This window comes from Homo sapiens, chromosome 1, assembly GCF_000001405.40.
Source record: "Homo sapiens chromosome 1, GRCh38.p14 Primary Assembly".
In the NCBI taxonomy this organism is placed as follows: Eukaryota; Metazoa; Chordata; class Mammalia; order Primates; family Hominidae; genus Homo; species Homo sapiens.
The window spans coordinates 47,381,738-47,395,212 of NC_000001.11; the positions used below are offsets into that span (position 1 = coordinate 47,381,738).

Below are 13,475 nucleotides of genomic sequence, written 5' to 3' on the forward strand. Positions count from 1 at the left end.
AGCTGCTTGGCTCCAAGAACTTCCAGGAGGGAAAGACAATGAATAGGTTCATTAGTTGGTACTTAAAAGGACAAAGCTGTGTGCATGGCTAAACCTAAGTTGTTTATTAGTTTTATCAAGAAGGATTTTCACAAATGGCTCCAAAACAGCTGCCAACACTTGGCCAGTCTAGTAGGTATGATTGTGAAGAGACTGCATCAAAACGTCCTTGACAAAATGTCACACTGTTTTCTTTTTAATTAACCAGGTGCACAATAAGCACTACCATTGTTCTATCCTCAGCTGGGATAATAGTCAAATGATACATTATTTACATGATTTGGAGGGGAAAATGCTGAAGTATAAAGACTCATTTTTTAGGGGCTGGGTGTGGTGGCTCACGCCTGTAATCCCAGCACTTTGGGAGGCTGAGGCCCGCAGATCACTTGAGGTCAGGAGTTTGAGACCAGCCTGGCCAACATGGTGAAACCCCGTCTCTACTAAAAATACATAAAATTAGCCGGGCATGGTGGCGTGCACCTGTAGTCCCAGCTACTCAGGAGGCTGAGGCAGGAGAATCACTTGAGCCTGGGAGGTGGAGGTTGCAGTGAGCCGAGATCATGCCACTGCACTCCAGCTTGGGCGACAGATCAAGACTCCGCCTCTAAATAAATAAATAAATAAAGACTAATTTTTTATTAGTCTTTAAACATTAAAATGAACAAGTTGAAACAGCTACATCAAAATCCCCCTGGTTCCAAAATAACTGTCAGAATGTCTATGTCATATTCAGTATCAAAGATGATTGAGCAGAGACTGTATCTATATTCCTTCCTTCCTTTCTCTGTTTAAGGCCTTTACTTAGGTCTGGATAAGTGCTGTCTGGGGAAAGAAGATAACTCCTGGACTTGCACTGCTGCTACTGTGTGCAAATGGAAATTCTGAAATGCAGGGGATGTGATGGGATGAGAGTAAAACCATTTGTATAGAGAAGCAGGATTTTGTTCCATCTAGTTCTACTTTATACGTGATGTTTCTTTTTTATTGTTCTTTTCTTTTCTTTTCTTTTTTTTTTTTTTTAAATGGTAGCAGCAGAGGAGGAGACACACAGCTCAGCCACCAGCCACAGGGGACATGATGGTTCTTGCTGGAACTTTTTTATTCTATCAATAATCACTCCCACAAAACACTGTGTCTTAATCTGTTCAAAAGTCTTCAGGTTCACAGGCCACACTCGCACTTCTCTCCACGAGTATTTTGTTGATGAAAATGGGATTAAGGAATGTGATTTCCTTAACACCATCTATCTTCATTTATCTTTAACTTGTGGTTTCAGTAATTTTGTGGCTATTTCTGAGTTTTGTTTATGTATTTGACTTAAGAAAGTAGCTGTTTATAGTCAGCAGCCAAATCATTGTTTTATATGACACAGATTATGGCTAGTTGGTGAAATAATAGCTAGGTACACATAGGAGGTATTACCACAGTCTGTAATCACATTCATGCAAGGGTCTGTCATTTTAATTTAGCTAACTGGTCACTAGCAAGCCAATTTTCAGAGATGCTGACCCCTGTGACTGGAATCAGATTTGTTGCAGGTAGTCCACATCTGCCTTAGGCCACGTGACTGTCACTGGACCAAGGGATGACAATAGCACCAAAATAATCACATTACAAAATTTGGCTGGCCATTCATTCAAAATATGTTTGAGACATTGCGGATACAACAGTCAGTTAATGTACAACCACTACCCTCAACAGGCTTACTAGATAAGCTCAAATCCAGTGGTTTCTTAGCTGATTGTGTTTCTGTGTAGTGCTTTCATTGCTGGCAAACTTTTTTACCTCTGTGATTTTGTTTTCTTTTCCCAGCAATTCTGAGGCAGGTTGGAATGGTGATTTTCCTGTTTCAAGGATGATTAAACTGAGGCCCAAAGAGTTCAAGTCAATTGCCACAATCTTTATGCTAGAGAGTGGTGGGTTTGGAACTAGAACCCAGACCTCTGGGCCTTAAAGATCTGCCTCCCAGGTTGGGTGCGGTGTCTCATGCCTGTAATCCCAGCACTTTGGGAGGCTGAAGAGAGCAGATCACCTGAGGTCAGGAGTTTGAGACCAGCCTGGCCAACATGGTGAAACCCCATCTCTACTAAAAATAGAAAAATTAGCTGGGCATGGTGGCGTGCGCCTGTAATCTTAGCTACTTGGGAGGCTGAGGCAGGAGAATTGGTTGAACCTGGGAGGTGGAGGTTGCAGTGAGCCAAGATTGCGCCACTGCACTCCTACCTGAGATGGAGACTCTGTATCAAAAAAAAAAAAAAGATCTGCCTCCTGTCCAGTAGCCCCTGCTGCCTATCTGTAATAAGGCAATGTGACCTCTAATATACCCCCCGTGCTTCCCATCACTAGTCTATTACCCTTGTTTATTTTCTCAGTGCATATATCACCATGTGAAGTTACTTTTACTTATTGTTGATTTCCCCTCTAGATTTTAAGTGCCAGAAGAGCACTTACCTTGTTTATTCCTGTTTTCCAATACCTAGACCAGTGCCTGCACATAGTAGGCACTCAATATTTGTTGAAAAAATAAACTGAAATGGAAAAATATTTTTGGCAGTAGCTGTAGCTACAAGTTATATCACTGAATTTTGGATCCCAGTAGAGTCTGCTTGTGACCTCTTAGGATTCTATTTTCGTTCCCCCTGAAGATTGGGAGCTGATAATCGTAAAGTACTGGGACCCCATCAGCTTCCCTCTGTTTTCAGTACACAACTCATGAAAAGACTTACAATGTGACTATCTTGGAGAAAAAAAAAGAAAGGGATAAGAAAACAATGTTTGGGCGAAAAATCTCACCCACTCATCCATAGTTCAATCTATGTTGATAGATTTGTTTTACCTATTGTACCTCTGTTTCACTATATGTTAGGACATGGGAAATCTCTGCTTTCTGAAGGCTTTTGACAGTTTTTGTTCACGCCACAGATTTGAAACGACTTAATATAAATTTCTACTTGAAGCCTTATAAGATTATAGTACATCCTAAGCACTTTAGTATCTATTTATTAAATTCAAAAAGAATAAAGTTAGATGCTTTTAGCCTGCCTTCTCCTCTATAGCTGTGTGTTGTGGTTCTTAATCAATGGAGTCTTTGAATGGGAAAGAGATTTCAGAGGTCTTAGTTGGATTTCTCTATTGTCTTAATAGCCTGACACAGAGTAGATAAATAAATGTTTGTATATTGAAAGAAGGAAAGTGTCCTCTTCAAAGCCCTCCAGACAGTTAGGAGCAGAACTAGGCCTAGAACCCAGTTCTCCTTTCTCCCAGCTCTTACTCCTCAACACCAACATGTTTTTTTTTTTTTTTTTTTTTTTTAAAAAGGACAGGGTCTGGCTCTGTTGCCCAACTGCAACCTCTGCCCTTGATCAGGCTCAAACGACCCTCCCACCTCAGCTTTCCGAGTAGCTGGGACCACATGCATGTACCACCACGCCCACCTAATTTTTAAAAAAACTTTATAGAGACATGTTGCCCAGACTGGTCTCGAACTCCTGACCTCAAGTGATCTGCCTGCCTTGGCCTCCCAAAATGTTGGGATTACAGGTGTGAGCCACTGAGCCACCGTGCCCGGCCACTAACATGCATTTACCTCAGTCATTCCTAACAAACACTTGGAAAAGCAAAGTAGTATCCTGTGATACTCCAGAACCACTATGTTACTATGTAGCAGGATTTCATTCAGTATGCTGAGCATTTGTTGAATGTCTTTTTAACCATATTTAAAACAAGAACCAATGCCTCAGGCCCTGCCCCCAGAAATTCTAATTTAATTACTTTTATTTTATTTTATTTTATTTTTGAGACAGAGTCTCACTCTGTCATTCGGGCTGGAGTACAGTGGTGCAGTCTTGGTTCACTGCAACCTCTGCCTCCCAGGTTTAAGTGATTCTGCCTCAGCCTCCCAAGTAGCTGGGACTACAGGCACATGCCACCACACCTGGATAATTTTTGTATTTTTAGTAGAGGTGGGGTTTCACCATGTTGGCCAGGCTGGTCTCGAACTCCTGACTTCAAGTGATCCCCCTGCCTTTGCCTCCCAAAGTGCTGGGATTGAAGGCATGAACCACCGCGCCTGGCCTCTTATTTATTTATTTATTTATTTAGAGCCAGAGTCTCGCTCTGTTGCCAGGCTGGAGTGCAGTGGCGCGATCTTGGCTCACTGCAACCTCTGCCTCCCGGGTTCGAGCGATTCTCCTGCCTCAGCCTCCCGAGTAGCTGCGACTACAGGCATGTGGCCCCACGCCCAGCTAATTTTTGTATTTTTAGTAGAGACGGGCTTCACCATGTTGGCCAGGATGGTCTCGATCTCTTGACCTCATGATCCGCCTGCCTCGGCCTCCCAAAGTGCTGGGATTATAGGCGTGAGCCACGCTCCCAGCCCTGCATTTCTTTTATGTGTAAAGTGATACTGATATTGATACTTTGAGAACCACCACAGTAAACAAAGTGATCAGAGCAGATAATGAAAACTCACAGCCTTGTATCTTTGTGGGCAAGGGATCAAGTCTTGGTCTTTTTGATGCATTCGCTCATAAGTTCAACTTGGTCTTTTTGATGCATTCACTCATAAGTTCATCGCAGCACTATACACAATAGCAAAGACATGGAATCAAGTCAGGTGCCCTTCAGCGGTGGACTGGATAAAGAAAATGTGGTACATATACACCCTGGAATACTATGCAGCCATAAAGAAAACCCAAAAGTATGCCCTTTGCAGCAACATGGATAAAGCTGGAGGCCATTATCCTAAGCGAATTAATACAGGAACAAAAGTAAATATATGTTCTCACTTAAAAGTGGGAGCTAAGCATTGGGTACGCATGGACACAAAGATGGGAACAATAGACACTGGGGGCTGCAAAAGAGTGAGAGGCAAGGAAAAACTACCTATTGGGAATTATGCTCACTACCTGGGTGACAAGATCAATTGTACCCCATACCTCAGCATCATGCAATATAACCATTAAGAGACCTGCACATGTATTCCCTGAATTTAAAATAAAAGTTGAAAAAAAAAAAGTCTTGGTCTTTTTATCCACAGTGTCTAGCACAGAGTAGGTACTTAGTGTTGATGAATTGACAGTTGGTGACAAACCATAGTGAAAGCTCACAAATTAAACAGCTGCTTAGTCTGCTGCCATTCCTGAGCTCACAGAGTGAGAGGGAAGTACTGCATGCAACAGTATCACAAATGCTCTCCCACTAAGGGAGTTGTCACATGGATGGCAGCTTGGCATAGTGGGCTTTCTATAATCTTACTTAGCAGCTGCCACTGTCTTAAAAGGTGAGGAGAGGCTGGGCACGGTGGCTCATATCTGTAATCCCAGCACTTTGGGAGGCCGAGGCAGGTGGATCACTTGAGGTCAGGTGTTCCAGACCAACCTGGCCAACATGGTGAAACCCCGTCTCTACTAAAAATACAAAACATTAACCAGGCATGGTGACTAGTGCTTGTAGTCCCAGCTACTTAGGAGGCTGAGGCAGGAGAATTGCTTGAACCCAGGAGGTGGAAGCTGCAGTGAGCCAAGATTACACCACTGTACTCCAGCCTGGTGACAGAGTGAGACTCCATATCAAAACCAAAAACAAAATGGTGAGGAGAGGCCAGGGGACTACCACCACTGTCTACAATCCTCTGAAGGGAGATGGAGTACATGTATTCAATGTGGGCTTGAGGGCAGAACTAGGGCAGTGGAAACAACATAAGGAAGACCGTCTAAGGTCAGAGCCACCCAACACTGAATTGGAGCGCCTGAGGACATGATCACCGTCCCTGGAAGTGTGCACGCAGGCCCTGGATGCTTATTTGGCAGAATGCTTTAGTCTTTCACTCTGGAGATTCTGTGGTTTGGGGATCATCTTCTTCAAGTAGGTATCTAAGTCTGAAGTCCACCTGGAATTCCAGACATACTCTCTGACACATAAGAGTTCCCTGTATATACAAGTGGGGAGGAAAGGCTAAGGGGCATCATGAGGATCTGTGCCTTACCATAAGAACCCAAATGCTGAGAAGTTTCCCTAAGCCTCTGTTTCTGCCTCCCACCCCCTCCCTGGGTGTCCTCCCCAGTGCCTGGGATAAGTGCTTAACAAAGTTTACTGGCATTAATGCTGTTGGTGGGCAGGAGGTGCCCAGTTTGCATTGGAAAAGAGAGAAACAGCAGTAGCAAAAAGATAGCAGTGAGGGACAGGAGAGACCCACTTAGCTGGAGGGGGTGAGGGTCCATGCACCAAATAATGGGAGATAGGAGTATGCAAAGATAAAGCGATAAACCTTTCATAACAGGTAAAGGAAGGTGAATTTTATCCAGTGTCTGTTTAGCTGAGTCCAGACTAGGAAGCTGGGCTGCATGAGTCAGTTTGACAAGGGCTTTTTAGATTTAGGAGGCTGCTCCGTTTTCCTCCTCCTCCTCTTCACTGTAAGCTGTCCCTTGAGCTGTATTCTGAAACCCTGAATGGTTTTTCCATCTCACTAGGGACAGTTGGCAAACCCTCTCTGGCTTGGCCAGGGTTGGGGCTGGGCACTAGACGAGCCGGGAGAGGAGGTGGCTCCCAGCAATAAGCAACCCACAGAATTGTGTCTGTCATTTAAGAAAAGTTTCTGGGTTTTCGGCTAATTGCAAAAATACATAATGGATGCTTTTCGCATCTGCTAGTTATTCTGGAACAGGCCTGCATCCAAGAGCAAACTTTAAACAAACAATAAGATTATGGAGCTTAACTATTTCAATGTGTAACAGAAAGCCAAGCCCCATACACTTAAATTACCACACATGCACTCAGACACAAGCACACAAGAGATCACATCTGCACAAACATACACACATACAGATGCATGTTTTGGCATTAGTGCATGCAAATGCATACTTACATGCTAGCACCTAGTACATACATGCATGCACAACTTGCACATGTGCGCAGTCACCAGCACCAATACACATTCTCAGACACACAAATGAACGTGCATACACTCATACACAAGTATACACCAACGCATTTGGGCAACAAGACACACAGCCTCAGGCACAGATGCATTTACACAAATCATTCTTACTGCAATGAGAGATAGTCCGGGGTAGGTGTGGGTGTCCTCCCAGTGCAGAGTTAAGTGAAGCAGTCCATCAGCTGGGCACTGGCTGTCCGGGTGTTACCAGGTGTAGTTATCAGTATGGCCACCAAGAGGCGCCCAGGATCCATCCTGCATCCACCTTTCATGGCTTCTGCCAGCTGGTCAATTGTTTCTGTACCCACAAGCCTGCATCTCCCTGTTCTGGATCCCTGCACAGAACTAGGAGACTCCTTGATCCCAGCCCCAACCTTCCAGGATCCACTGTGCTCATTCTCATCCTTTCCCTGTCCCACACCACCAAAACAACCACAAGTCCCATCCCTCCTCCCTCCTAGCAGAACGCATGCTTCAGCACTCCCTGCTTGTCCTGTGGCTGCTCCATGGAGAACTGGATCTGTCAGGTCTTGATCATGATGTGACTTCTACCTGGAACTTTTTCCACAGGAGAAGCTGTCAAAATCTCACCTATTTTTCAGTCTATGTCAGAATCTCCCAGTGCAAGACTGCCAGAGTCAAGAATACATGTTCAAGTAATTCAGTGAATGAATTAATGCCTCACTCTAATACCTGACTCTGCCTTCCCCATTAACCCCAGCTGGAGAGGTCTCTCACCTTCTAGCACCTGCCTCCTGGCTTATGTGTGTGTGTGTGTGTGTATATATATTTCAATAAAACAAGTGCCAGGCTGGGTGCAGTGGCTCACGCCTGTAATCCCAGTTACTTGGGAGGCTGAGGAAGGAGAATCTCTTGAACCTGGGAGGTGGAGGTTGCAGTGAGCTGAGATCGCACCACTGCACTCCAGCCTGGGCAACAGAGAGAGACTATCTGAAAAAAAAAAAAAAATTCCCCCCACCACGCCGCCCCCCCCACAAAATGCCAGCTTGAAAACACAAGCTAGAGGCAGACTCAAGATGTCATGAAGTCAACCCCTTCCAGCATCCCTGACAGGTAGCTACCCTAGCAACAGATAACTCACCCCTCCCTGAGCAGCCCTCTTCACTGGATACTTCAGACTTCCAGAAAGTTCCACTGTGTTCTTCCACATTCTCAGAGCTCTTTCATCATGACAGGGGCTGAAGCAACGTCTGATAATGCAGTAGGAGAATAAGTGCAAAGTGCAGGGGAGGGTGTGCAAACTTTCCAGAGAAGTGGGGCAGGGAATTGGGATCAATTACAGAGGGAGTATGAGTATAAAAACTATCATTACAGCTGCTGTTTAGTGAATGTTTACTGTGCTCATGACTGCAAATCCTTATAGAGGGCAAGCTCGAATCCAGGTCTGCCTGTCTGCAGTCTAGTCTAAAACACCTCTTGGAACATAAACAAAATAAGAGTTTTGGGAGCAGATGGGTAGGGGGACAGCCAGGTGTATTAATTTTCTTTTGCTACATAATAAATCACCATTAACTTAGTGACTTAAAACAACATCCATCCCTGGGTGCGGTGGCTCACGCCTGTTATCCCAGCACGTTGGGAGGCTGAGGCAGGTGAATCACAAGGTCAGGAGAGTGAGACCATCCTGGCTAACATGGTGAAATCCCGTCTCTGCTAAAAATACAAAAAAATTAGCTGGGCACGGTGGCACGTGTCTGTAGTCCCAGCTACTTGGGAGGCTGAGGGAGGAGAATCGCTTGAACCAAGGAGGTGGAGGTTGCAGTGAGCCGAGGTCGTGGCACTGCACTCCAGCCTGGGCGACAGAGCAAGACTGTCTCAAAACAAACAAACAAACAAAAAAAACCACCATCCATTTTATTACCTCACAGTTCTGTAGGTCAGAAGTCTGTGCAGGCTTGACTGGGTTTTCTGCCCACAGTATCACAAGTCTGAAATCAAGGCTTCAGCTGGGCCTGGCTCTCATTCAGAGGCCCTGGGAAAGAATCACTTCCAAGCTCATTCACATTGTTGGCAGAATCCATTTCCTAGCAAGTCCTCATTACCATGGTCACTGCTGGCCATGGGGTGGCCTTGGTACTAGAGGCTGCTCTAGGGTCCCTTCCACGTGCACTCTCCACTTTCAAGATAGAGCCCTCCTCATGCTTTGAACTACTGACTTCTTTTCTGTCACCAGCTGGACAAAATTCTGCTTTTAAAGGGCTCACGTGATTATCTTAGGCCTACCTGGTTAATCTCCCTATCTTAAGTCAACTGGTTAGTAACCTTAATTGCTTCTGCAAAATTCTTGCCATGTAATGTAACACATTCCACAGAAGAGCTAATTATCCAAGGGTGAAGGTCATTGGGGCAGGCAGAGTTCTATGATGTCCCCGGTGACCCTCACCCTTGTACAGTGCCCTCCCCTTTGAGTGTGTGTTGAACCTGTAAGGTTATGTTATGCTATGTGGCAAAAGGTAGATTAACTGGGTGGGCCCAATCAAATCCCATGGGTTCATTAAAAGTGAGTTTTCTCTGGCTGGTAAGAGAGAAGGAAGTGAGAATCAAGGCATGAGAAGTACTTGACCTGCCGTTACTGGCTTTGAAGGTAGTGGGGGCATGTGCAAGGAAGGGAGAATGGCTTCTAGGAGCTCCCCTCACCCCTGGCCGACAGCAAGGAAATGAGGACCTCGGTTCCACAGCTGGAAGGAACATTCTGCCAACAGTGTGAATGAGGCTGAAAGAACTTCTAGATGACAGCCCAGCCCTGCTGACATCTTTTTTTTTTTTTTTTAGACGGAGTCTCGCTCTGTCACCCAGGCTGGAGTGCACTGGCACGATCTCGGCTCACTGCAACCTCCCCCTCCCGGGTTCAGGCGATTCTCCTGCCTCAGCCTCCCGAGTAGCTGGGATTACAGGTGCACGCCACCATGCTTGCCTCATTTTTGTACTTTTAGTAGAGACAGGGTTTCACCATGTTGGCCAGGCTGGTCTTGAACTCCTGACCTCAAGTGATCCGCCAGCCTCGGCCTCCCAAAGTCCTGGGATTACAGATGTGAGCCACTGCGCCCAGCCCCCACTGACATCTTGATTCAGACGTTGTAATACTGTGAGCAGAGATCCCAGTCAGTTGCACTGCCCAGATATATGAACCAGAGGACTGTGAGGTAATAAACGGGATTGCTTTAAGCTGCTCTTTGTGGTAATTTGTTATGCAGCAATAGAAAACTAATATGCCGGGCAAACAGCACATCATTTGCCTGACCTAGGCCATCTCTTATTATCTACCTACATCCTCCTTTTTTCCTCCTCCTCCTATTCCTCTATTTAAAAAATAGTTTCATCTGAATATGACTCGTCCACAAAAAGGCTGATTCTGACACATGCTACAACACAGATGAACCTTGAAGACATTATGCTACATAAAATAAGCTAAGCCAGTCACAAAAATACAAATACTGTATGATTCCAAATATATGAGTAATCAGATTCATAGAGACAGAAAGCAGAATGGTGGTTGCCAGGGGCTGGGAGGATTGGGGAATGGGAGTATTGTTTAATGGGTCTGGAGTTTCAGTTTGGGAAGATGAAAAAGGTTCTGGAGATGAATGGTGGTAACGCTTGCATAACAACATGAAGGTACTTAATGCCATTGAATTGTACAATTAAAAATGGTTAAATGGGCTGGGTGTGGTGGCTCACGCCTGTAATACCAACACTTTGGGAGGCCAAGGTGGGTGGATCACTTGGTGTCAGGAGTTCAAGACCAACCTGGTCAACATGGTGAAACCCCGTCTCTACTAAAAATACAAAAATTATCCAGGTGTGGTGGCACATGCTTGTAATCCCAGCTACTTGGGAGGGTGAGGCAGGAGGATCACTTGAACCTGGGAGGGTGAGATTGTAGGGAGCTGAAATGGTGCCATTGCACTCCAGCCTGGGCAACAGAGCAAGACTTCGTCTCGGAAAAAAAAAAGTTAAATGGTGAATTTTGTGTTACGTTTATTTTAGCACAATAAAAACAATTTTTAAAATAGTCTCATCAAAGTAATGCATATCGTGGTTAAAAAGCAACAGCCTCCATCTCCCTGACACCTTCTATGACGTAAAAGACTTCAGACTCAGCCGTTTCTTCTAAGACTTGCCTCTATATATTTATTATGCTTCTCTTGCCTTTTTTTTCTTAATGTAGGCAGAATAAATGGTAAAGATTTCAAACAGTGAAAATTATGTCTTCATCCAACCCCCATTATCTCTGTCCACAAGCCCCCCTCAAAAAAGCAATGCCAGGTTTCCTGTATATTTTTCCCCTAGGTACTCAATGCATAAAATAAGCATATTCTATACATATATACATAGCTTCTTTCTCCTTTCTTTCTTTCTTTTTCTTCTTTTCTTTCTTTCTCTCTCTCCTTCCTTCCTTTTTTTTTTTTAACAGGAGACCAGAGTTTTATTATTACTCAAACCAGTCTCCCCCAAAACTTGGGGACTGCGGTTTTTAAGGATAAAATGATGGGCAGGTGGTCGGAAAGTGGGGAGTGCTGATTGATCCGGTTGGATATAAAATCTAGGGAGTCGAAGCTGTCCTCTTGCCATGAGTCAGTTTCTGGGCAGAAGCCACAAGACCAGATGAGCTAGTTTATCATTCTGGGTAGGGCCAGCTGATCTGTCGAGTACAGGGTCTTTAGTTACAGAGGAGGAAGGCAGTGGCAATCTGACATGTTAGGAATCCTGTACTGTGACTGTGTAGACAAGGTATGAGGCCAGCTCTCCTGAGGGGCTTTAATTGCTCTATAAGTCAACTTTGATTCCTTAAAGCAGTGTGTTTATATTTGAAACCATGCCATTCCAGTCAAAGCCTTGGTAAAATAACCAGCATCTCCAACTGTGTCCCAAAGTCAGACAATTGGTGCTGATAGACAATTTTCCTTTGAATTGGGGGTCTCTTCAGTATAGTCCCTTCATGGTTTGCCAGGAAGATGTTACCAGAAAGCGGTCCCAATCCAGACCCCCAGAGAAGGTTCTTGGATCTTGCACAAGCAAGAATTTGGGATGAATCCATAGAGTAAAGTGAAAGCAAGTTTATTAAGAAAGTAAAGAAACAAAAGAAAGGCTACTCCATAGGCAGAGCAGCATAGCTCCTTTGCTTTTTGCACAATGGTAACACATATGGACTCCCTCTTTTTTTTTTTTTTTTGAGACAGGGTCTCACTCTGTCGCCCAGGCTGGAGTGCAGTGGCGCGATCTTGGCTCACTACAACGTCTGATTCCCAAGTTCAAGCGATTCTCCTGTCTCAGCCTCCCGAGTAGCTGGGATTACAGGTGCACGCCACCACACCTGGCTAATTTTTGTATTTTTAGTAGAGACAGGGTTTTACCATGTTGCCCAGGCTGGTCTCGATCTCCTGACCTCAGGTGATCCGCCCGCCGTGGCCTCCCAAAGTGCTGGGATTACAGGTGTGAGCCACCACTCCCAGCCACACCTTTTCTTTTCCTCAGTTTCTAACTGCCTTTATCCTTCCCTAATATTTATCTAGTCTCTCTTTCACCTGGTCTCCTCCTTTCCCCAGAGACTTCCTTTCAAGGCCCTCTATTATCCTACTTCAGTGTGGTCTGCTAGTGTGCAAGCCTGCTGGACATCTGTCGTCTGACTTCCTTTCACGGCTTTCTGCATGAAGTCCAGTCTCTTTGAAAGTCCTCTTTAATGGTGTATTTCCTTGTTTTTCTGGGGCACACTCTCCAGGTAACTACCTAAGGAACAGTGCAGATGATGAAGGTATTCTGACTCCTATGTATCTCCATATGTCTTTATTATATCCTTAAAAGTGATAGTTCAGCCTATATAGAATTCTAGATGGAAAGTTCAGTTCTCTGAGCAGTTGAAGCATTTCTCCATTGTCCTCTAGCATCTAGTATTGCTGAGAATTCTGAAGTCATTCTGATTCTCATTCCTTTTTGACCTTTTTTTCTTTATTTTCATTTTGCTCCCATCTGAAAGCTTTAGATCTCTTTATCCCTGTGTTCAAAAATGTTAGGATGCTGTACCTGAGTGTAGATAATTTTTTCATTCATTTTCTGGGTACATAGCTCTTTCAATATGGAAAATTTTGAACTTTATGAGAAATGTTTTATTGTAACTTTAAATAATTCATCTTTTCCATTTTTATTTGTTTTTGCAGGAATTCCCATTTGTTGGATTTTTTATTTCTTGGATTGATTCTTTATGTCTTATGTTTTCTACCTCCTTATATTTTTATTTCACTCTGAGAAATTTCCTTAATTTTAAAAGTCTATTAAAATTTTTTGTTTGTTTTGAGATGGAGTCTTGCTCTGTCACCTAGGCTGGAGTACAGTGGCACAATCTCAGCTCACTGCAACCTCCGCCTCCTGGGTTCAAGTGATTCTCCTGCCTCAGCCTCCTGAGTAGCTGGGATTACAGGCGTGTGCCACCACACCTGGCTAATTTTTGTATTTTTAGTAGAGATGGGGTTTCACTATGTTG

At 44.4% G+C, this 13,475-nt stretch overlaps 1 long non-coding RNA gene across 1 annotated transcript in view, besides 1 other annotated feature; it reads right to left on the reverse strand.

The window, feature by feature from the left end:
• LINC01389 (long intergenic non-protein coding RNA 1389) overlaps window positions 1–13,475 on the reverse strand; it is a 56,522-nt gene that overhangs the window by 942 nt on the left and 42,105 nt on the right. Inside the window, exon 4 of the long non-coding RNA NR_126355.1 lies at window positions 4,511–4,619. This is a non-coding gene — a long non-coding RNA (long intergenic non-protein coding RNA 1389). The remainder of the gene's footprint in view (window positions 1–4,510; window positions 4,620–13,475) is intronic.
• Window positions 6,220–6,514: a silencer, noted in NCBI's record as "tiled region #7712; HepG2 Repressive non-DNase unmatched - State 7:EnhWF". NCBI's record gives its function as "represses a minimal TATA promoter and a strong SV40 promoter by Sharpr-MPRA in HepG2 cells {active_cell/tissue: HepG2}" and the evidence as "EXISTENCE:reporter gene assay evidence [ECO:0000049][PMID:27701403]".